The sequence below is a fragment of the Homo sapiens genome, chromosome 4 (genome assembly GCF_000001405.40).
Source record: "Homo sapiens chromosome 4, GRCh38.p14 Primary Assembly".
NCBI classification, from domain to species: Eukaryota; Metazoa; Chordata; class Mammalia; order Primates; family Hominidae; genus Homo; species Homo sapiens.
In genome coordinates this window covers 84,943,170-84,968,829 of record NC_000004.12, presented here as the reverse complement: position 1 = coordinate 84,968,829, position 25,660 = coordinate 84,943,170, and the positions used below count along the sequence as shown (strand labels likewise).

Here is a 25,660-nt window from a genome sequence, read left to right as displayed (position 1 = left end):
TTATGTGGCTTCAGTAAAAAAGAAAAAAAAAACTTGGTACATTTATTTTTATGTCTATCACTGAAAAACCTTTGTGAGTTTGTAAGACATTAATATGAAAACGGCTGCTTTTGCATACTGATAGATTTGTGAACTTTATTGCAATATATGTTTTAACAGAAAAATATAATTATAGTATTTTAAAATGTAACTCTTCCTCCCTCAGTGTAAATAAAATCACAATGACAAGAGTCCTGAAACCTCTAACTGAAAATCTTCCTTTAAAAATGCATGGTGGTCTTAATGTTTAAAAGAAGTCAGCCTATTTTCGCAGTGTATATTCATGTTATCTAACGTTCTTTTTTCTCCAATTATTATACATACAGTTTTATAAGTGAATATTTAAGAGTCAAGAATTTTGTGGTATTTTGCCTAGAAATAGACTGGAAGAACACAAAATCTAAATAAAGAATAAACACCAAAAGGCCAAAGGGAAAGAACAAAAAAAGTACATGTACATGCATATGCACACACACACCCCCACATAGGTGCTTTGTTTTTAATAATTTATTTCAAAACGTATTGTACAATGCTGTCTCAAATACTTTATTTGGGTTTAAAAGAGTTGTAGATGTTAGTATAGGTTGTTGATTTCAAATGGAAAAATTATTGGCATTGAAAGATGGCAACTGAAATCTTGAACCTAACAGTTAATTAAGGTTACTTCGTGAGGATTAAATATTAGAATTCTGCTCCGCCCCCCACCAAAGGATACCGGTATTTTTACTAAAATATATTTTTAGGTTTGTTTTGGCATATTCTTTTCAAAGAGATTTGAAACTCTTAAATTGTTATAATTACAAAATCTTATATTTGAACTTTCAAAACATTACTCATTTTGAAGTAGAATCTAAAACTACATTTAAAAACATTTCTGCCCACATTTGGTCTGTTTAAGGGACTAACCTTTGAACACACTAGTCTTATTTTGAAAGGGCAAGGTGTTTTTTTTTTTTAATAGCCAGTGCCCCACAGAAGAAAAACTGTGACACCCCCCCCCCACAAAGTGCTCATATATATCACCTGTGTTTGTTAGCAATGTTACCTCCAACTTTGTTATCTTGGAGTAATTGACGAGTAAATCATTACAAATGGGTCCAACTCTAAAGGCAAAATCGTCAAAAAGAAGAAAACAGCAAATCCAACTTGCCTTATGTTTATTAGAGGAAATCCTGAAACTTCTGTAGATTGCAGTGTTAGGAAAAACAAGTTTGTGATTACAGCGATGTTATGACCACTTCCCCACTCTAACTCTGTTGTTTAAGGGAGTCCACTCCTAACTGCTGACTCAGTTTGTCTTTACTGCCAGAACTGAAGCGTGACCCAAATTGTCTGCTGGGTTGAGTAGGAACAAACGGGCAAAATGATGATCACTTGGCAGTTCTAGGTTTACTAAAGGATACTTATTTGGTCTAAACACTGTTTGTGGGACTGCAAAGGTATAAATAATGCCCCTCCCAGGAAGGAAAAGGAAAATCTAAAATCTTAGGCAACCGACTCAAGGTCACTGACGGAAGGCACCATTTGAGACCGAGCTCCTCAACTACAGTCCCATCACGGACGGGAGCCACACAGGAGAGCGTGCAGGAGTTTCGAAGCTGCGTAGTACAATAGCTGGCGTGGGCAGTTCTTTTATACTCTGGCTAGAGTAAAATTAACGCACCTTTGCGTTTCTCCATCGCCTCTGACAGCATCCAGCTAAAGGGTGTAGGGTTAAGGAAAGCGGAACCCAGTTGTCCTTTCTCAGCTGAGTCCTTTCAGAAACTGGGACTGAGGAGGGTGAGCGCCGCGGAGAGGGGCAGGGGTGGGAGAGGAGAGAGGGGCGCGGGGCGGGGAAGAGGCGCGTCTGGAAGGCAGTGGGGAGAGGGACTGAGAGGAGTGGGGTTGAAGTCCAGCTGGGAGCATCCAGCGGCGCTGTCTGCAGACAGGGGCGAAGGCAGCCGCTGAGAGTGAGGCAAGAGCGGGAAGCCGAGGGAAGGGAAGGAAGTAAGGAAAGAGGAAGGAAAGGCAGGAGGGGGTAGAAGCTGAGCGGCTGCAATTTCTGCGGCCGGCTCAGTAGGAGGAGCAGGAGGGGAAAGAGGAGGATCCAGTCAGTCAGTCAGACAGCCAGCGGGAGGTGGAGAAAGCAGGAGGAGGAGGAGGATTAAAGATGGCCACCAACAGCTGCGGGAAACGGCAACAACCCCTCACTTTCCGGGATGGTCCCTGCGGGTCGGCCCGGCCTTGATGGAGAGAAGAAACCCGAGGAGCGCCGAGGCTGAGGCGGCGGCGGCGGGGACCCAGCGAGGACGAGGACGCGGCGGAGCAGGGACGGGGGCAGGAGAAGGGAAAGGCGGCGGCGTCGCTGCCCCTGCTGCCTAGCACCGCTGCCTGGCCCGGCGGACCGGTTCCCATACCTCGCGGCCGCAGAATCGAGCTCGGGCCCCGGCCCCCGGCCCGCGGCGCGGGGCTCCCGGGCCCCGCCGCGGACGTCGCGCCGGTCGCCCCTTCCCCGTAGCCCGTGCGCCCTCGGCGCGGAGCCCCGGCCCGCCGCGGTCCCGTCTCCTGGGCCTGTCCCGCCCGCGCCCTCCGCCGGCCCTCAGGTGAGTACCCCCGCCATCCTCCCCGCCCCCCGCGCTCCCGGAGAGGCGGTGCTGCCTCGGCCCGGCGCGCCTGGCCGCTTTGTTCGTGCGGGGCGGAGGCGCTGCCCACTCGCGGCCCTGCGCCCGCTCCCCCTAGGGACAGGCCGCGGCCCAGCTGCTGTCCTCCCCAGGGTCCGCCTTGGCCGGGAGCCGCCGCCGCCGCCAGGGTGGGCGGCCTGGCCCTAGTCCTCCGCTGCCTCCTGGGGAGGGCGCCGTCGCGGACGGGTCGGGGTCGGGGTCACGGGCGGCGAGCGGAGCGGAGCGGAACCGGGATATTTCGGGGGATAGGGGAGGAGAGGGCTGGACGTTACCTGTGGGAAGCAGTGGGGGCGTAGGCGGCCCTGGCTCGCAGGGGTAGGGGATCAGGCCCTGGCCCCCCCCCGCTGCATCCTGCGGGGTCTCAGCTCCCGGAGCCACCCGGACCTGAGCGCAGCCGAGCGCGGCCTCCATCCCTCGGGCGCTGTCTCCAGGGCTTCGGGCCTCTCCCCCTACGCCCTACGCTGGAAGCCCTTCGATTATGGAAGGAGCCAGAGATGCTCCAGTTCTCTTGTACTGGGGATGTGGTGGCATCGCAAACATTCACAGTTACGGCGGGATTTAAGAAGCAGATGAGACCTTTCCAACCAAAGGCCATCTGGCTAGTGTTTGAGCCTCAGGTGCAGTTTTTCATTGATTTTTACCATTTAATTGTGAGATCTGCAATATCAGGTCTTCCTTTCACAGAAACAATGTGATACAACCAGATTGAAAGGATATTTACTGCATATGTGAACCCTTGCATGGACTTCCAGTACCTTAAAAATGGTTAAGTGTTTTCTGTTGGAAAATGGTGCTCATGCATACGAAAAACTATTTTTGTTCAGTAATGGTTGCCAACTGGTTTACTATGTAGTTTGAACACCAAACAATTAAAAAGGAAAAACAAAACCCTATTCTTCGGGCTTTTTAAATAGTGGCATATTTCCAGGTTGGTATTTGGTAGCAGGTTGAGAACAACTGGTTTCGACTATCAGGCGACGTAACAAACATAACATAAAACAGAACTAAAAATGTGCTAATTTATAGAAAAACATGTTGTATTAGTGCATAAGTCTAGTAAAAAAATCCGACTTTAAAAAAAATAAAACTTTATCATGAGACTCTTAAGTATAGGAATTAGGTTGGTATGTTTTTATGTTTAAAAATATATATTGCATTAGAATTGAGAACTCTTCCTATGATATTTGAGCAATAGTAAAGTATGTTAATACTTTGAACCATTCTATCTCAAGCTGCTAGAAAGAGGTTTCTACTGCTAGTTTCTTTCCATGAGTTAAAATGGATTCATCTGAAATATATGTATGCTTTTGGTGGGTCACAGTGGGTCATGCCTGTCATTCCAGCACTTTGGGAGGCCAAGGCTGGGGGATCACTTGAGGCCAGGAGTTAGAGACCAGCCTGGGCAACAAAGAGAAAACAATTTTTGTAAAGAAAAAAAAAAATGTTTCAAAAAATTTGTATCACCTCCAAAAAGGAGGGATAAGTTAGAAAATACAATGTTCTACTCTTGCATAATCTGTTTTTGAAAAAGTAAATGACAGTATATTTCAATATTAGTTGGATTCTCTGCTTTGAAGAGATTCTTAAATTCCACTGCTCAACTTTGCAATTTTAAAAGTTTACATCAGTTGTTCTTAATTTATTTATTTATTTCTTTTTTTAGAGACAGGGTCTTGCCCTGTTGCCCAGGCTGGGGTGTAGTGGCACGATCACGGTTCACTGCAGCCTTGAACTTCTGGGCCCGAGTGATCCTTCTCCCACAGCCTCCCAAGAAGTTAGGACTACATGTGCATGCCACCATGCCTGTCTAATTTTTCTATTTTTTGTAGAGATGAGGGTCTCCCTGTGTTGCTCAGGCTGATCTTGAACTCCTGGCCTCAAGTGATCCTCCTGCCTTAGCCTCTCTAAGTGCTGGGATTACAGATGTGAGCCACCATGCCCTGCTTCTTTCTTAATTTCATGCATATACTTCTGAGGGTCCTTGGCTTCCCAGAAATCATATGCAGAATATAGCATATATTTGCTTTTTTCCTAGATAAAGACTCTGTTGGGTGATCACATTCTCAAAAGGATATGGGTCTGTAAAAGATTATGAACTTCTAGATATAAAATTAAAGAATACATATTCCATATTTGGAAAGCTAAAATTTTTAAATTACATTTGATGATTTATGTCCTTCATTTCTGATTATGCCCAAGAAATGTTTGTGATTAAGAGTTCAGCACATAGACGTTGTTTCTAACACATTCTCATTTAAATCGAAGGAAAATATTAATCCCATTTTACAGATGGGGAAATAGAACAAGTTGTTTTAAAGTCATACAAACACTGGTGGGCCAACATGTGAACCCAGACTGTCTGAAGTTAGAGCCAGCATTCATAAACAGGGTATACTAGACTTTGATCGGTAATACCATTTGATTGATGTTAAAATAAGTAATTGATGTTTTAGTTAGAATTGCAAAGTATATCTGAGATTATCATAGCATACAATATCATAAGATTTTAGAGCCCTGGACCCCCAGTATGAAGAGATCTTAATGATACTAACCTCTGTTAATGATGCTAGTCTGAAATCACACCCGAACTAGGGTCATTTCTACAGCATCTTTGGCAGGATCATCCACCTCTGATTTTAGTATTTCCTGTGATTACGAATTTCCCCTCTTCTTTTTTTTTTCTTGACCTTTTTTTTTTTTTCTTTTGAGATGGAGTCTTGCTGTGTTGCCCAGGCTGGAGTGCAGTGGCATCATCTGGGCTCACTGCAACTTCTGCCTCCCGGGTTTCGAGAGATTCTCGTGCCTCAGCCACCCAAGTAGCTGGGACTATAGACCCTCGCCACCACGCCTGGCTAATTTTTGTATTTTTAGTGGAGACGGGGTTTTACCCTGTTGGCCAAGCTAGTCTTGAACTCCTGAGCTCAAGTGGTCTGCCTGCCTCTGTCTCCCAAAATGCTGGTATTACAGGCGTGAGCCACCGTGCCAGGCCGTTTTTTTTTTTTTGTTTTTTTGTTTGTTTGTTTTTACATTTTAAATCTATATTTCTATTTATGTCGAGTCAAAATCTGCCTTCCTGATATTTACACTGATAAATCCAGTTCCCCCTTGGTGTGTGTGGTGTATTTATCATCCATGAAATGATTAAGAAATAAATGGCGACCGGGCATGGTGGCTCACACCTGTAATCCCAGCACTTTGGGAGGCCGAGGCAGATGAATCACCTGAGGTCAGGAGTTCAAGACCAGCCTGGCCAATATGGTGAATCCCCGTGTCTACTAAAAATACAAAAATTAGCTTGGCCTGGTGGTGTGCACCTGTAGTCCCAGATGCTCGGGAGGCTGAGGCAGGAGAATCGCTTGAACTGGGGAGGTGGAGGTTGCAGTGAGCTGAGATGGCGCCACCGCACTCCAACCTGGGTGACAGAGTGAGACTCCATCTCAAAAAAAAAAAAAAAAGAAATGGCTCCTACTTTAATTTTTTAGAGTAATGTTTATTGAAGCATAATTTACATGTAGTGAAAGTAAAAGTTTAACAAATGTCTATAATTGGATAGTCTCCACCACAGTCAAGACATAGAAAAGGACGTTTCCGTTACTCTAAAAAGTTCACTCATGCCCTGTCATGAGTCAGTCCTCTACCTCTACACTCCCAGCCCCTGAAAACCGTTAATTTAATTGATGCTCTTAAAGTTTTATCTCGTCTGGCATATATAAATGGAATTATACATTATGTAGCCTTTCGTGTTCCCTTGCACTTAGCGTAATGCTTGATATTTATTAAGTTGTTACATGTGTCAGTATTTTGTTCAGTGATGTGCTGGGAAATGTCTTAACAACATACTCTTCAGAAAAAAAAAAAGAATCTCTGATTTATAGCATTCGCTAATCATTGTAGTGTAAACACTGTCACTATGGCCTAAATTAAGCTACCAGCTTACAGAATTCCTGAAAATTTAACAATGGGCTCCCATGAGCTGGTACCAGCCAGCTCCAGCACAGTTCCTTTTTTTGTTGAGTAACATTGTTTTACACCAGGGTAACACAATTTGTTCATCCATTCATAAACTGATGGACATTTGAGTTGTTTCTAGTTTTGATCAAATATGAATAAAGCTGCTATAAACATTTGCATACAGGTCTATGTGAGGGACAAAAATGTTCAGTTTTCTTGAGTTAATACCTAGGAGTGGGATTTTTGAGTCCTAGGATAAGTGTATATTTATTAATATCAGTAACCTTTTTATTGAACTACTGAATTGTTTTCCTAAATGGTGATATCATTTTACATTCCTACAGCAATATCTGAGAGTTTCAGTTGCTTTACATCTTTATCAGCACTTGGTATTGTCAGTTATTAAAACTTTAGCCATTTATTATATGTGTAGTGATCTCCTTTAAATTTTTTTACTCTTATTTTCAGTAGTGTTTAGACTCAGTATAGAAAGTTTATGATAGATATTTATAAAAAAATAATTTTCTTTAGCTTGGGCATCAGTTATGATCTCACTATGAAGGCTGCAGCCTTTAAAGGCTGTTTGTTGAGTTTTTACTGTGCACTCATCTTTCATGTTGTTAAAATTACTTTTTGTAAAGGAATAATCATTAGGGAATTATTCTAATGCTTAGCTGTTAGCAATTTAAAAAATGAACCATTTTAAACAGGTAGATAAAGCTTTGTTTAGAAAATTAGAATTAAAAAATTTATCATAAAGAATTTTTTTTTTCAATTTTACTTGGACTTAAAGGGAAAAAAAGATTCTTTGTGGCTCCCTGTATGCCAACAATTTGCTTTGATGGGATTTCACCAAGTTCTGTAAACTCATTGAATTGTTCTTTATTTTAAAATCTTGAGGACTGTCAAGTTAGTTACTACTCTTTCTGAAACCACAGTATCAAAATCTTTTTTTTTTTTTTTTGAGACAGAGTCTTGCTTTTGTCACCCAGGCTGGAGTGCAGTGGCATGATCTCAGCTCACTGCAGCCTCCACCTCTCGGGTTCAAGCGATTCTCCTGCCTCAGCCACCCGAGTAGCTGGAATTACAGGCATCCGCCACCACGCCCGGCTAATTTTTGCATTTTTAGTAGAGACAGGGTTTCACCATGTTAGCCAGGCTGGTCTCGAATTCCTGACCTTGTGATCCGCCCGCCTCGGCCTCCCAAAAGTGCTGGGATTACTGTGCCTGGCCAAAATCTGTCTTTGAAATTTCACGTAGTTTTAGTGTGGACAAAGGATTAAATTACACATAGCTCATATCAACATTTAATTTTCAGTAGTAGAATACTGGGTTGCCCCGTTGGAATAAGATATCATTCATTCAGAAGATGATATGAAATAAAACCCTTAGAAGAGTAACCTGCCAGTTGCAGTGGCTCATATCTGTAATCCCAGCACTTTGGGAGGCCAAGGTGGGTGGATTGCTTGAGCTCAGAAATTCGAGACCAGCCTGGGCAACATAGTGAGACCCCTTCTTTTTTTTAAAATAAGAAGAGTACCTTGTAAAATACATAGTCATGTTAGACTGTAAATAAGAATAGCTATATTCACAGTTTGAGTACCCCGTAATAATGAAAGATGTTTGTTTAAACATCTCAACAGTTCTCACGGAAAATAGATAATTTGTTCAGTCATTGATTCATACATTTGTTCGTATACATACACGAATGTCTTGTGCATGTAGTATTCAAGGTCCTTATCATGATAGAGCTTACAGTTGAGTGGAAGAGACTGTTGAATAGGGTATCACATACGTGAGGTGTGGATGCTGTAGGTAGGTACATATGGTGTGGAGGTGGGGTGGGCATGGAACTCAGACTTCAAAGTTTGGAAGGACTTCCAGGAGGAAGCATTGTCTTCATTGAGAAATCTGGAGGTTGAGTAGTTAGGGGAAGTGGCTGTGTAGCATTAATAGAATGTGCAGTTATCCAGAGATGAGAGAAAATGCAAATAGCAAACATATCAGGAATATTATTTTCAAATAACAGGCCTCTAAAGCCTACATTTATTGCCCCTACCCAATCTCAGTTGAAATTAGGAAGGTTAATGGGAAGTAAAACTAGGGTAAAAACCAAAAAAACAAACATTTACTATACTATTGAGGTATTTTTTGGTAGTTTGCTTATTTCTAACATTCATAGACTGACATAATTCGATCATATTATCTTTGAACTCATCCCCAGATCTTGTAAGAAGCGTTAATATAGATAAGATTATAGCCTTCCTTTTTTAACATTTAGGCTAATTCTCATCTAATACTGTAATGTTTATTCCTAGTTAAGTGTATTTGATTTTTATTGCTGCCATGAAGTTCATCAAGTTTTGTTTGTGTGACAAGTATTAATGACATCTGAACCACTGATTTTTTGCTGGGATATGTCCAACTGCTGGTTTAGACATATCTGCTGAGATATTTACACAGGCATGTCAACCTCAGCATGGCCCAAATGTAACTCATAATCGTTCTTCCAAAATGTATTTTCTTCTCCTATCTCCTCAGCTTGAGTAAATGCTGTTAGCACCTGTTCTGTCACTAGATTGAGACTGGCAGTCATCATCCACTCCTCAGTCTTCCTCACGTCTCACATTTAATTAAGCATCAGGTCCAGTTGTTTTTATCTTCTAAATGTTTATCATTTTCAACCTCCACCTGCCAGAAGACAATTTTGGGGCCTGTATTTCCCTGCTGAAGTATTAGAGAGGTCTTTTAAATATTCTACTTAACTGCAGTCTCACGTCTTCTCATAGATTACCCTCACACTCTTTCCAAAATGAATTGTTTTTTGTTTTAATTTTTTAAAATGTGAAATTGTGGTCTTTCCAGTATACCTTTTTTTTTCTGCTTAAAATTCTTGAATAGATCTTAAGTCATTATCAAAGAGGCGCTAAAACATGGGGTTGCAGTCTATAAAAAACTCTTTGTAACCTGGCTCCAGCTTCTCCAGTCACATCTCTGACAGCCATTCATTTGTTCATTTTTTAAAAAAAGACTTGAGTGTCTGCTGTCTGTTAGGCACAGTGCTGGGTGATAGCGCTATATCAGGGAGCTTAAATTCTAGTGGTGAGGGGAGTAGATAACAAGTATTACTATTGTCAATTGTACTGTCAATAATTGTCAATTATTATAATACATAGTACATTATATACTATATTATTATAACTGTCAGTGACATCATACAATCATTGGGGTGCTAAAGTATGGGTGGGTTTGCCATTTATAGAGGTCTGAATCAGAAGGCCTCTCTGTAAAGGTCCATTAGAAGAGATTTGAGGCAGCCAAGGGAGTGAGAATTGTAGGACTGAGAGAAGAGCAAGTGCTGAGGCTCTGAAGCAGGGTGCTTGGCACATTCACAGAACAGTAAGGGGTTGGCTGGAAGGAGGTGAACCATGAGGTCAAGGTGATGGAGGTGTCATTAGTCTTGGGTAGGCCAGTGTTAGGACTTTGACTTCTGAGCTCAGTGTGTTTGAGCCTAGATTGCATCCTCTGCATGGCAGAGATGCATTCCTGTCTCCTACTTGAAGCTTTTGAAGTATGCCAAGCTCTCCTGCCTCTGAGCCTTTCTTTCTACCTGGAATAGTACTTAGGTTGTCCCTCCTGGATGTTCCCTTAGCACTCTTGGTTGTACTCCTATTATGAAACTTAATAGCTGGTTTATTTGTCTCTCCACCCTAGGCTGAGGTCTTGGATGGGAGGAACTGGAATTTTTTAAAAAAAAACTTCTGATTTTTTATTTCATTGAATTAATGTTTGTTGAATTATAGAACTGCTTAAACATAGGATTAATCATTGAAAACTGGGTAGGAGATGCCAACCACATTGCTTAGCAACTGCTAGTTCATGTGGACATGGAATCTGTTTTGCTGACCACTGTGCATTTAGTGCTGGTGCAATGAGCTATACACAGTAGGTGCTCAGTAAATACTTGGTAAATGATTGAGTGCACATTCCTGTACCAGCCTCTGCCTTTTCCACTGCTTCCCTGAAACCCATGGGTTAAATGAACCCAAAATCCCTTAACGTTTCCTGACAGCCTTATCTTTCCACTAATCTTATGCGCAAGAAATGCCAAATACTTAGAGATGCATTCTTTCACCATAAATAAATGTAATAATAAAGAAATACAGTAGCAAAGAAATGTGGAAATAATTTATCTCCAAGTTAAATAAATAAAGTTCATTGCAGAATGTTTTGGCTCATTCACACTTCTGTTTTTCTTTCTTTGGTTGGAATTTTTTCAGGTTAATTTATTACTTGGCCCCCAAATCTTTAATAACTGTAACACTAATAGATCTAGAATATCAGTTCTATAAACTGTGAAACATGAGTCCTGCAGAATGTGAAAAGCCCAGCACCAGAAATAAGTTAATGATATTTCTTCATGTGTTTCATTTGGTTGAACAAGGAAGTACTAGTTGATTTATTTACTTGACTGCAGTGGTGCAGGGCTTTGGGATTTTTGAGTCTAAAAGTATCAGGCCTTACCACGGACCTTTCAGGGATCCCTGAGACATCTAGGTATCATTAGGGTCATAAAACTGTGACCATTAACTCCAAATTCCCCAGTTCTTGTTGCAGGCTTTCATGTCCTGTCTGACCCCATTACCTTCACGTCTTTGAACCTTCAGAGAAGGGACATTGAGATATATTAAGTACTGTATCTGCAGAAGATGTAAGACTTGAGGCAAAACATTAAAGCAATGTCTGTTAGTGATATGAGTCACTTACCCCTCATTTTTGTTTAATCAAAAATTACTGTGTCCAATAGATTGTGTATAATAGATGATAAAATATTGGATTATTGATCTTCCATAGCGTTATAGTCCATTGTGAGAAGTCTCATTATGATATGCCTTGTAGTTTTGTTTTTTTTTTTTTTTTTGGTATATGAAATACTTTGTATCTGTTAGCCCACTTAATGCAGGCACTATATATATTTTGACCAACTAAACTGTAATTTCACTAAAGTGCTGAGATTTTGTTTTCAGTTTGGGGTTTTGTTGCTGTTTTAATGCTTATGACTGAGTTGGGCCTTGGTTTTATATCTCTATAAAGTGGTCTCACTATTAAATAAGCACATTAGTTTTCTCAACTCCAGGAAAATTATTAATGATTTTCTTAGGCCTGTGGTTTCTTCCATAAAGGTTTTTTTTTTTTTTTAAGAAAACCATTGTCACCTGCTTCTATTCATGTATTAGTATATTTGTGTATAATATATGATTTAGCTTAATAATATGTCATTGTTTTGTGATATTTCACAAAAGAACACCATGGTTATCAAGTGCTGCAGTAATTAAGCAAGCTCAAGGCTTGGAGGTGTATGGAGACAACCCTTTTTATCATTATGCTGATCCAATAGCAGATACTTGTAAGCCTTAAAAAAACTGAAGCCCTACTTAGTAAAGACAACTGACATAGGTGGTACTATAATAATGTATTTTGATGAGGTTGCAAGCTTAGATTGGGAACTTTGTATCAACTAGGTACATGTGAAGCCCCAGTGGATTTAAAGTATTGTATTTGGGAGTTTAGAGGACTATAAATGAGTGAGGATTTTAAAAAATAATTACAGTTGTTTGATTCTTTTGTGAATGGCCTAATCCCTTTAAAGTATTCATTACTACTACCTATAAAAGATTAGTGCCTATTGATAATGGCACTTCAGAGGCCCAGAAATTAAAAGACACTTGTTCTTCCCTTGCCAGTAGAGAGCTGTGTCTTTGGGTAGGACCACTAGCCTGTCTGGCGTCTGGTTCTTCATGCATTGGCTCTTCTTTCCACTCTGGGTCCTTGAAATAATAGCGATCATTGAGTTCTGACATGGATTCTTTCAGCTTTCTTCAGTTTCTTAAGCCTTTGGTACCTGTGTTACGAGTGGAGATCATGTGACAGGGTGATTTTTGACATGTTGTAATTGGTATGTTGTCAACACTTGATGAACCAGCTGCTCAGCCAATTAATACCAGGCCCAGCTTCCTCTTCCTGTATGATGTTTCTTCCTAGCATGTTTCCTTCTGTTCTCCAGCCAATATAGACTTAAAGGAGGCCAACTTATTTAATATTAGCCTGAGGAAAGTAGGAATTTGATACATAGCTGTTATTTGGTCTATGAAAAAATTATGCCAAAATTATTTTGTTATGTGCTATTTTTTTTTCAAAGGACAACTGATTTGTTTATCTGCACATTAACTTGTAGTTTTATTGCCTTGCTCTGAGTAAAACATCCACACACATAAATTTCACTTTATAAGTTGAATAACTCAGGAGGTGATTAATTATCCTGCCTAGGATTCAACACTTTAAATAGAATTTCCACAAGTATTTTCTCAAAATATTCGTTACTTAGTACATGTTAAGTGTTTGAGTTTAGAAAAACAATTTAATATACCTGTTTTAATTTCTCCAACACTTATTAAATATGCATTACCTTATTGATTTTTTTAATTTTTAATTTTGAAATAATTATAAACTTGGGAAGTTGCAAAAATAGTATAGAGCTCCACGTACTCTTCACCTATCTTTCTTTCCCCATTAGTAATATCTTATAACTATAGTACAATAACTGATTTATATTTTATTACTAAAAGCATAGTGACCTTATTTTGAAAAATGTTGGAAAATACAAGAATGTTGGTATTTTTGTCCTCTTCAGAGGATGAAGATGTTTGTGTATACAAATTCAGATCTGTGCCTTATGTCCGTAGGCAGCAGGCCCAGGGTATGTTTCTTCCCTGCATTTCCTGTAAGAAGAGCAACAGGTATTAGACAAATGGCTGATTGTTTCCACAGGGTAATTCATTCACAGCCCTAGATATAGTCATGTAAAAATTTTAATTACATGGCATTCTTCTTAATTCCTCTTTACTGTTCTTCTTTATTTAGTCACTACCATATTCGCTTACTGGGAGCTCCCGCTCCCTTTTTGTTTTTTTTTTTTTGAGACAGTGTTTTGTTCTGTCGCCCAGGCTGGAGTGCAGTGGCACAATCTCAGCTCACTGCAACCTCTGCCTCCTGGGTTCAAGCGATTTTCCTGCCACAGCCTCCTGAATAGCTAAGACTACAGGCATGCCACCCTGCCTGGCTAATTTTTGTATTTTTTGCAAAGACGGAGTTTTGCCATATTGGCCAGGCTGGTCTTCAACTCCTGAGCTCAAGTGATCCACCTGCCTCAGCCTCCCACAGTGCCAAAATTACAGGAGCGAGCCACTGTGCCTGGCCACTGGGAGCTTTCTTAACATGTAACAAATAAAGCAAGAAATATTGAGCAGTTAGCCAAAGAGTGTTTATTAAGTATCTGCTGTCACTGTGCTGATTCTAGAGAGAGTTTGGAAAAATTAATAGTGCAGCTAAATAAGCAGCTATAAAACATTACCAGACATTGTATAATATATTTCAGCAAATTTTATTTTCTCTCTAGACACATAATGTAGGAATATGATTGACTTTCAGTAAACATTTGTTGAGTGAATAAATGTAAATAGACAGTAAACATGTCAGAAAATTAAGAAAATAAATGTTCACTGTTACTCTGAGGAACTCTAAGACTGTTTACTAAAAATGAAAGAATGATAATATGTGTTTTATTATGTTTCTTTTTTCTGTTCACCCTAGAAATCCCTATAAATTTATAGATAAATTTATAGTCAGATTTCTTTGATTAAAGCCTGGAGTCTTTTTGTGTCTCTTTGACCCTACAGTCCAAGTTCTTTCCCCATGGCATTGCCCATTAAAACACAGTATTAGGTGATTTAGATGATAAATGCCATAGTTGAGTAAATAAGTATGAAATAAAAATAAACTCTATATCAGTTATTTGTAGAACAATCATTGTGTATTGATTGCTTAATAATTTTATTTAGCTTGATTTATTTGTGTAATGAGTAGGGACTAAATTAGATCAAGTATCAGGGATTAAACTTGCTACCTGAGAACCTAGTTCTTATTTCCCAAAATAATGATCCTATGTAAATAGACTCTCAAGTGATGTTATGCTATATAATAATAATTCTGTAAGCTTTTTTTCCTAAAGATGATAACATATTTTATTGTGATTGTGCTGGGTATCACGGGTACTATGCATGGACGCTTTACACATGGGTAGTTCTGCCCTCAATAACTTTATAACATAGTGGAGATAAGATAGGTAGATACATAATTGAATGGTATTTGATGAGTCTGAGAGGTGCAGAAGTGCTATGGACACTTAATGAGTAGAAAGATTATTTTCGATTGAACTGATTAAGAGAACCCTAAGATATGATCTTTGATCTGCATATCAGGGGGATTGATCAAATTTCTTTGGTGGGAATTGTGAAATTTATTTATATCAAAATTATAGGACATATAAAATTGATAGATTTCACTCTCAGTGAATCAGAACAGGTTTCTTGGGGAAAAATATTAGCCCAAATATAATATTTAAGTAAAGAAGAAAAGGATTAGGGATAATGTAAGATACTTAGGAAAAAAAATACTTATAATATGAGAATCTTACTCTTGCTCCTGAAGCATTTTACAACTAGGTCATCATAAAAATTGTACTAAGTATGACTTCCCTAGCATGTATTCTTTTTTTAAAAAAATACATTTTATTGTGTATATTTAAGATATTCACATGATGTTATGAGATAACATAAGTAGTAAAATGTTTACAATGGTGAAACAAATGAACATATCTATCATCTCACATAATTACCCATTTTTCCCCTGTGTCAAAAGCAGCTATGACCTGCTCATTTAGCAAAAATCCTGAATACAATACATTGTCAGTTAATGAGATCTTTAGATTTGTTCATCCTGCATATATACTATTTTGTATCTTTTGAGACACCTCTCCCATTTCCTCTGCGCAACCGTGACCCTCATAACTAGTTTTATTCTCTGTCTCTGTGAATATTTGACCTTTTTTTTTTTTGATACCAGATAATAAGTGAGATCATGCAATATTTTTCTTTTGGTGTCTGGCTTATTTCACATAGTGTAATATCCTTCGGGTCAACTCATGTTGTGGCAAATGACAAGATCCCCTTCTTTTTTTTTTAAGGCTGAATAATATTCCATTTTTTATTATACACCATAGTTTCTTAATCCATTTGATAGTTGAGGGATACCAAGGTTGTTTCCATACTTTGGCCATAATGAATAATGCTGCAGTGAACATGAGGAATGCATCTATTAGAGGTGGTGATTTCATTTCCTTTGTGTATACACCCAGAAGAAAGGTTGTTGGGTTACAGGTAATCCTAGTTTTAATTTCTTTAGGACCCTCCATACTATTTTCCATAATGGCTGCACCAATCTACCATGTATGCTTTTTAAGTTTGATCTGCTACATTAATGACAGATGTAATTTATATATTTCACTTAATTTGCTAAATCCAGAAATTTTTTTTTTTTTGGTCAAGATGAGTATTTATTTTGCTGTTTTATTTTTTGAAGTTGCAATGTTTAAATTATTTCTGAGTGGAATAGCATCGAAAAAAATTTCTTGATGTTGTGGAGTTCAGCATTGCTGAGTGGTAGCTGTCAGTGGCAGGCTTTAAAGAATAAGCTGGAAGAAGAAGGGAAAGTAAGATGTTGGTGAATGGCAACATGATGAGAGGAAAGCAAGAAAAAGACAGAGAAAATAAAAGTTCTGTATAAAGGGGTGTTGTTTTTGCCTCAGGTCATTCAGTATAGCAGATGGTACATTGTACCTGGTCAAACCTGAAGCATTTCTGAAAGCTAATTTCTTTGTCAGACCTATAGAGAGCAGAAAATCTTTTGAGTTTGCTTCAGTTATACAATAAATATTAATGAAAAATGGTGTCATACATTCTTTTATGTTCTCCACCTCTTTTTCCGCAGAGACCTAGATTTATATCTGAGTCACCAGAGTAAATAAGTTCAGTGATTCCCAGCTTGTCTTAGGTTGCATAACCACCACATGGGTTGGCATAGGTGTTTTTACTTTCAGGAGGATGTGAGGAAGCCTGTCAAGACATGGCAGCTGCTGAAAATGCATTAAGGCCACTACTACCACTGATAGGTATTTGTGTGGTTGGAGCAGGGCAGGGAAAAGTTGTACTGCATTGCTTTTCTGAGGTAATAGTACTTGTCATCTCTATTCATAGCTTGGAAAAGAGTATTGTGTCTTTCTTAGAAGGCTGATTTTTCTTTCTCTGTGGATTTTCTTGCACTTTCAATTTTCTCAGCCTGACTAAAACTTTCATCAAAAATGAACTACTTTTTGACTGTGGCTTGCCAATGTTGATAGATGTTTAAAAGTCTCCTCATATTCCAGCCTTTCTTCTTCCTACCCTGCTTATTGACACCCACTTTAGCACAGGGTTTAATAGTGGCTTTGCCTATCCTGATGTCATCTGGCAAAGCATCATTCCAGTCCAATGAAGATTTTGTTTGGCAAGCACTATTTTAATGGAAGAAAACTGGTTGCATTGCAGTATCTAATTGTTACTTTGGTTTTGTTATTTAACATCGGGCATGGCTTACGTTCACATCTGTGTGCTTTTTTGAGTTTTGTTAAAGTTTAGAAGTGATTTTACTATATAGCATGTGTGGCATGTTGTTGAGATATAGATATATATCATACTTCTAAGTAGCAGAAGTAAGTATTGTGCACAGGCTTTAAGTTAGATTTTTTATATTACATCATCTGTTATCATTTAAAGGATCAATACAAATTGTATTTTTATTTAAAATTTTTAAAGATGGTAAAGTAATTAAATTAGTAAAGACTGCTCTGGCATCAGATAATCTGTTTTCTTCATGAGAGTTCAACCCACTGTGACTTCTGTTACAAAGGAAAGCATGTCTGTGAACAGCAGTTTTGAAGATTTTTGTATGTTCATGTTGATGGAAAAAATATGATAAAAACAAACGAAGAAAATAGAAGATAAACATGTTGACCAGTAACTCATTCCCGGATGCCCGAAATACAGAGAATTCCTATTCAAATAAACAAGTAATAAAATGGACTTTTAAAAGATAAATATTAAGCATCCTGTGAGGAAAGGGTCATAGGAATATAAAATTAGAATAGAGGTAAATAATTGCCTGGCAAGAGGGAAAGAGTACATGAAATTAATCTCCAATGTGAGATGCATTTTGCATTGTGTTTATTAATGAATAGGGAGTAGTTTTTGGAAAAAGTGAGTTTCTCAGCACTTACATTACACTTTGTCTCCTTAGGGTAAGGCCCTCCCTAGTAATTGACATTCTGCAGTGATTGTATTGCAGTATAAGCTGAGTACATTTGACACTTTACTAACCATCTCAACTCTTGATTTACTTTTTCATTCAGTGTGTTTATTCAGTGTCTACTTTGTGTGCTGAAACTATTTTTCTTTTTTGAGTTGGAGTCTCCCTCTGTTGCCCAGGCTGGAGTGCAGTGATGCTATCTCCGCTCACTGCAGCCTCCGCCTCCTGGGTTCAAACGATTCTCCTGCCTCAGCCTCCCAAGTAGCTGGGACTACAGGCGCATGCCACCATGCCAGGCTAAGTTTTTGTATTTTAATAGAGACGGGGTTTCACCGTGTTAATCAGGATGGTCTCGATCTCCTAACATCATGATCCACCCGCCTTGGCCTCCCAAAGTGCTGAGATTACAGGTGTGAGCCACCTTGCCCGCCTAAAATTATTAAGATGATGAGATGCTATTACTTCTTTCAAAGAGTTCATATACTAGTTTAGCCTATATTAAATAATGTAACCTTTTTTTTTTTTTATTAAACTTTAAGTTCTGGGATATGTGTGCACAACATGCAGGTTTGTTACATAGGTATACATGTGCCATGGTGGTTTGCTGCACCTATTAACCCATCATCTAGGTTTTAAACCCCTCATGCATTAGGGATTTGTCCTAATGCTCTCCCTCCCCTTGCCCCCCAACCCCCGATAGCTCCCAATGTGTGATGTTCCCCTCTCTGTGTCCATGTGTTCTCATTGTTCAACTCCCACTTATGAATGAGAACATGTGGTGTTTGGTTTTCTGTTCCTGTGTTAGTTTGCTGAGAGTGATGTTTTCCAGCTTCATCCATGTCCCTGCAAAGCACATGAACTCATTCTTTTTTATGGCTGCATAGTATTCCATGGTGTATATGTGCCACATTTTCTTTATCCAGTCTATCATCAGTGGACATTTGGGTTGGTTCCAAGTCTTTGCTATTGTGAATAGTGCTGCAATAAACATACGCGAACAGCATCTATTTTTGAGATGTCATTGGCTTCCCACCTTAGCCACAGTATTTAGAATTCTTTATTATCTACTGCACTTGTTCTTACTGCAGTTCTGTTGGCTTATAAGGGGCCTGAGGTAAATATATTTACTTTTGTCCTTGAGTTTTCGACTACTTGGTAGTTTTTTTGGCGGTGATCCCATCTGTGGCTTGATCTTTAGCTAGGAATCAAGGTTGTAGAGAAAGCAGAGGAAACAACTTTAATGAAGGTGTAATATTAATAACAAAAGTAGATTTTGGAGAAAGTGATAGGAGTCCCATTTTTTGGCACTAAAGAGAATTAGAAATTGAATAAGTTTCATAGAGAAGAATTCAGCATTGTTCAGAAGAGGCACTGATTTATGTGACTAGATATATATACTCTTTCATTGCTCTGATATACCTTAAGTTTTGCATTAAGAAATTGCTTCTAGAACTCTTGGGAATCAGATGGCCTTTTCAATATGCTATAATCTAGAACATATTTACAAAATGTAATGTAGTCATTGTCATTTCTCCTATTTTAAAATTTATCTGGTGATTGAAAAATAAATTTGGGCGTGTAAATGTGTGGGATTCTTTCCTATATTATGTTATTGTTTTAATTGTACTATACTGCCAAGTTTCCAGCTTATGCCATTTAGAAAATAACTTTTTTCTTTTGTATATTTTCTGTTTTAAAATTCTGTGAGCTTGCTTACCTTTTCCATATCTCAAAATTTGATAGAGCTTTGTTGTATTTGTGATATGGGAGCACATGGCCAAGTTGTAGAGTAGGGCAGAGGTAACTATTATGCAGGACAGACTAGAATCAGTCCACATTTAAGGTATAGTGCTGCATGTTAAGGTCAATCTAACCTTAACTAACTACAGGCGCTGAGGAAAAGTTCTTTTTGGTAGGCCGTGCCAGGGGTAAACAGCCAGAGAATAATTCAGTCAACCTATTAATGGGAATTCAAGGGGAAGAAGCATATGGAATCTGAAATAGGAGGGTGTGTGTGTGTAAATGACGAAATGAATGCAAACATACATGCTTATATATGTATGAGTGGCCACCAGATAATTCTGTCTGTGGGTACTGGACTCTAGCTATCAGTCCTTGGGATTGGGAATTTAAAGTAGACTGCTCAGTCCTAGGAAGAGAAAAGCCAGGAAGGGATCAGACTAGGGACCTCCAAAAGTGTCTAAGCAGAAGCTTAGTTATAATAGCTGAGCTATAAACAGGAAAAGGACAGCAGAAGGGGAAGGAGTAGAACAGGGTAGGCATCATAACGAGCTAGAAATCCTAACTATCTAATCTGCAGTATGAAGGCTGGGTAATGTTAGTGATGACTTGATCCAGAATTAAAGATTGGGGCGAAACTGCAAAAACATCTTCTATCACAAGTCCGTATTGGTGATCTAGGATTTAAGTGACAGGCGAAGCCAGGCACTTGGAGAGCAGAGACAGGCTGGGCTTGACATTCTTTGATGAACTACTAAGTATCTTTTTTTTTCTATATACTATTAAGTATTGTTGATCAGTAATCATTTAGTCTGCTTTATTGGCATTGGTATGGCATCACGAGATGCAAAGAACTGCTGATGCCTCATACTAACGTCTTAACAGGGAACTGCTGCTAAAATGAACAAACTTACACACTGAAGTAAATATGCTTTCTTGTGAAATAGGAGGATATGAAAAAGCATGTTAGGCATGAGGGTTCTCATGTCACACTTTGGAAGGCAAAATTACCCTTTAGGAATTTATTTTCTGAGTTGGATAAGAGGAAGCAAGGAAAATGCATGATTATGATAAATTGACCTTAAAATGAGAACCTCCACACCTTTCATTTACTTCCTATAAAAAGTTATAGTAGCATTTTTTTGGTTGCAGTCAGTTGACACTTACTAGCTTGAGGAGGGGAAAAGGAATTAATGGGACTCATACTGGGAATGGAATGATGGATTGAACAAGTGGGTCTTGAACAGAAGATATCAGAGTTGCTTTGAGGATCTCATTAGCAGGAATTTTATTTATTTATTTATTTATTTACTTTTGAGACAGGGTCTCACTCTTTCATCTAGGCTGGAGTACAGTGGCATGATTATGACTCACTACAGCCTTTACCTTCCAGGCTCAAGTAAGTGGTCCTCCCTCCTTAAGCCCCTGAGTAGCTGGGACTTCAGGCACATGCCACCATGCCTGGCTAATGTTTTTTTTTTTTTTTTTTTTGGTAGATGTGGGGTTTTTTGATATGTTGCTCAGGCTGGTCTTGAACTCCTGGACTCAAGCGATCTTGACTGCCTTGGCTTCCCAAAGTGCTGGGTTTACACGTGTGAGCCACTGCGCCCAGCCTAGCAGGAATTTTTATTTTATTTTATTTTATTTATTTATTATTTTTATTATTATTATTATTATTATTATTATTTTTGAGACGGATTCTCGCTCTTTTGCCCAGGCCGGAGTGCAGTGGCACAATCTTGGCTCACTGCAACCTCCACCTCCCGAGTTCAAGCGATTCTCCTGCCTCAGCCTCCCGAGTAGCTGGGACTACAGGCCCGTGCCACCACACCTGGCCAATTTTTTGTATTTTTAGTAGAGCTGAGGTTTCACCATGTTAGCCAGGATGGTCTCCATCTCCTGACCTCGTGATCCGCCCGCCTCGGCTTCCCAAAGTGCTAGGATTACAGGCATAAGTCACTGTGCCCGGCCCCTAGCAGGAATTTTTATACCTTCTTCCTAGACTCCTGCTATTAAGGTGACTTTGCTGTAAAGATTTAGTCTCTCTCTGCCTTGCATCTTCAATTTATATATTCCATCAAGAAAGGATTAAATTGGCCGGGCACGGTGGCTCACGCCTGTAATCCCAGCACTTTGGGAGGCCGAGGCGGGTGGATCACAAGGTCAGGAGATCGAGACCATCCTGGCTAACACAGTGAAACTCCGTATCTACTAAAAATACAAAAAAATTAGCCAGGCGTGGTGGCAGGTGCCTGTAGTCCTAGCTACTAGGGAGGCTGAGGCGGGAGAATGGCATGAACCTGGGAGGCAGAGCTTGCAGTGAGCGGAGATCACGCCACTGCACTCCAGCCTGGGCAACAGAGCGAGACTCTGTCTCAAAAAAAAAAACAAAAAATGAAAGGATTAAATTAACCTCGTTCAGATCAGGTGTCTGTCTGTACTAGAGCCAGGGTATGCAGACTTATGATGTATAGCGCGCTAGGAATATACCTCGGTGCTGGGGGTCATTCCCAAAGAAGGGGAAGTCAAAAGCTGGGCAGCCCTCCTAGGTGTCTAGAACATCTCACTCTTTGGTAGCTTAACCACTGCTTTTCCTGTCTCTTTCCCTTTGCTTTCCTCCCCACTAGTAGAGATAACCCTGCTATCCCATGTATTGATGCAGTTTTTCCAGTGGGAGAAAAGCAAAAAGCAAGTTGAAGTACCATATCCAGAGGCAGTGCCATAGGGCTACTGACTCTGAGTGATATCATGCTGCCTCCTGGTTCCATTGTGATTCTTTCTTGATATTTTACAACCTAAATTTAACTCCTGCCAACTTGCCATCTGCATGCTTGAGGGAAAGGAAGAGGAAATAAAGAGAAAATGTATTTAAAGGGAAAGAGAAGGGTACTTATCACACACCAGTGACTATTAAGGAAATAAATGGTGGCCACAGTCCTTAGTTTTACATCTGAGCACAAAGCCCTAACCTGTTTCACTTCAGATTACATATTTCTGTTACCTTCTGCTAGTGTCCTGGCTTATCAGGGTTCTGTTTCTAGGAAGCTAACTCAGTCCTTCATTCCCAAAAGGGTCTGAGGTTTGGTAGTTCCAACTGTATAGAATTGTGATAATCTTTCACTCACATTAACACTGTGTACGGCACTGCCAGAGAATATGAGATTCCCCCAAGTTCTTTTCTCATGATCTTCCTAGCCCCAGGTGTGCAGTAGCAACCTGTCTTCTCCTTGATGGTCAGGAGCAGTCACCTCTGTCAATTCTATAGCCTCCATTTTTGCTTGTTTTTTTATTGTTATGAGGAAATAAAACTCTGCTTTCAATTGAGTGAAACAGTTATTTTGTTTCTTGGTATAAGTATTTCATTCTTGGGTACTAAATAAAATTTCTAGATCAACAGATTCCAGAGTTCTTGAGACAAGAAGCAGAACTTTGAAAGCAGATGAAATATACCACCTCCACCATCACCACGTTCCCACATCCAGTGTGTTCCGGAGATGGGAGGATGGGAGACATCATATATTAGTGGGTGGTTCAGAGCTTATTTTATGTACTATAGGACAGCACCCCAATATCAGAAGGTTTCAGGTGGCGCAACAACTTGCATGTCAAGCTTCAAAATGCCATTACTCCTCTGTGAGGACAGCTGTGTCTGAATAAGAGTCTATTTGATAAGACTAGTGAGGTCCCTGGGCATCTGCCCATCACCATTTGAAGTGAGTTCCTGGATCAGAGGCCCTGTGAGTGTGATTTATATGAAGCATTCACTTAATCTTGAATGGTGGTGCTGGCAGAGACAAATTCAGAATTGGTGTTTCTTATAGTGAAAAGCAGCCATCACCATTTCTGTAATGCAAAGGGTTTGTTATAATTTACCTGCTAAGAAGTAGTCTCTCTTTGGGGGACTCAGGCAAATGTGTTCTCAACAGTAGTGACAGTGACATCAGTCTTAATGAGTTCGTGCAGATTTGCCCTTGCATAACTGCTTCTCCTTCCACCTGGTGGTTTTCATGAACCTATTGAGCAAGGACCAGGCTGGCTGGAGGAGTATGAGTTGGTCTGTGATGTGGGTCATCTTATCCACTCAATTACTAAGAGGCTTTGTATTTTGATTTGTTAGCAGAATTCTGGTGAACATACACATGGGACAGGAATTTTTTTAGGCTGTGACCCTGTTGTGAGAGGTTCATTCAAGTAGCTATTCTGAGAATCTCCCTCTTTTTTATCTTTTGATCTTTTCAAGGCCATTGATCATGACACAGAAAAGGGAAGGATTATAAGCTTTCCAGCTACTCCAGGAAGTGTCTACTACAGAAGTAATAATATATTCTATAAGTTCCCAAAACTTAAGACTTTCAGCCACATCCAGTGACTATATGTATTATTTATTTATTTATTTTTATTTATTTTTTTGAGAGGAAGTCTCACTCTGTTGCCCAGGCTGGAGTGCAGTGGCGTGATCTCGGCTCACTGCAACCTGCCTCCCAGGTTCAAGCAATTCTCCTGTCTTAGCCACCATGCCTGGCTAATTTTTTGTATTTTTAGTAGAGACGTTGTTTCACCATGTTGACCAGGCTGGCCTTGAACTCTTGACCTCAGATGATCCATCCGCCACAGCCCCACAAAGTGCTGGGATTACAGGCATGAGCCACTGCACCCAGCCTGTTTATTTTTTGATACACGGTCTGACTCTCGCCCAGGCTGGAGTACAGTGGCAAGATCTTGGCTCACTGCAGTCTCCTCCCTCAAGGTTCAAGTGATTCTCCCACCTCAACCTTCCAAGTAACTGGTACTACAGGTGTGCGCCACCATGCCCAGCTAATTTTTTGTATTTTTTATTTTAATTTTTTTCGTAGAGAATGGGTTTGTAGAGGCTGGTCTTGAACTCCTGAGCTCAAGTGATCCATCCCCCTCAGCCTCCCAGAGTTCTGGGATTACAGGCATGAGCCACCATGCCTGGCTGATTTTTGCTTCTTAAAGTTAGGAGTGATAATTTTGGAATAATTAAAGACTAATAAATAATACTTATATAAAGCTATTTATTCAGTCAGCGAAAAGATATTTAGAGTCTTATTGTTTGTTTTAGCATATGTATTTGACAATCAGGTGCTTATTGAAAATCATTACACGAGTTAGTTTTTCATGTAATTATACTTAAGTTGAATTTCTTTGCTTTCCCCATCAACCTAAAGTTTCCATTTAAAATTTGCTCTATAATTAACAAAAGTGCCATATATCCTAATCTGGAATGTTTATAATTCAGAGGTCAAATTGGAAGAGGGAGGCCTTCAACAGTTACTCTTCCTTGCTAATTTTAGACTTTATGTCTGTGCCTCTGGTAGGGACCCAACACAATGAATGGCTCATGACTGGTAGTGTAAAGACTTATTTTCCAGTTTTTAGTATGTGTAGGCCAAATTGTATCACCCTTAGGCTATTTACTAGTTGATGATGATTTTGTCACCTTTAAAGAGCAGTTTTTTTTGTTTTGTTTTGTTTTTCAATAAATTTATTCAAGTACAGTTGATCTTTGAACCATGTTGGGGCTAGGGGAAGTGACCTCCTGTGTAGTTGATCTGCATATAACTTTTTTGGTTTCCCCAAAACTTAATTACTGATAGTGTTACTGATAACATAAACCGTCGATTTATACACATCTTGTGGGTTATATGTATTATATACTGTATTCTTTTTTTTTTCTGAGACGGAGTCTTGCTCTGTCGCCCAGGCTGGAGTGCAGTGGTGTGATCTCGGCTCACTGCAAGCTCCGCCTCCCTGGTTCACGCCATTCTCCTGCCTCAGCCTCCTGAGTAGCTGGGACTACAGGTGCCCACCACCACGCCCAGCTAGTTTTTTTGTATTCTTAGTAGAGATGGGGTTTCACTGGGTGTTAGCCAGGATGGTCTCGATCTCCTGACCTTGTGATCCGCCCGCCTCGGCCTCCCAAAGTGCTTGGATTACAGGTGTGAGCCACCACACCCAGCCATATACTGTATTCTTACAGGAAAGTTAGTTAAAAGAAAATGACATTAAGA

General features: G+C 39.7%; 1 protein-coding gene and 1 long non-coding RNA gene across 40 annotated transcripts in view; one reads left to right on the top strand and one right to left on the bottom strand.

The window, feature by feature from the left end:
• Positions 1-3,214, bottom strand: part of WDFY3-AS2 (WDFY3 antisense RNA 2) — a 43,128-nt gene extending 39,914 nt beyond the window's left edge. For 6 of the 12 annotated variants that reach the window (NR_152776.1, NR_152778.1, NR_152780.1 and 3 more), the window contains exon 1: positions 1,703-2,098. This is a non-coding gene — a long non-coding RNA (WDFY3 antisense RNA 2). Of the gene's footprint in view, positions 1-1,189; positions 1,347-1,702; positions 2,099-2,971 lie in introns of those variants that run through there. The other 6 variants (NR_152772.1, NR_152774.1, NR_152773.1 and 3 more) reach the window with 2 other exon arrangements.
• Positions 2,140-25,660, top strand: part of WDFY3 (WD repeat and FYVE domain containing 3) — a 297,094-nt gene continuing 273,573 nt past the window's right edge. For all 28 annotated transcript variants that reach the window (XM_011531759.3, XM_047449858.1, XM_011531763.4 and 25 more), the window contains exon 1: positions 2,140-2,621. The gene's annotated coding sequence lies outside the window, so the exon portion shown is untranslated. The remainder of the gene's footprint in view (positions 2,622-25,660) is intronic.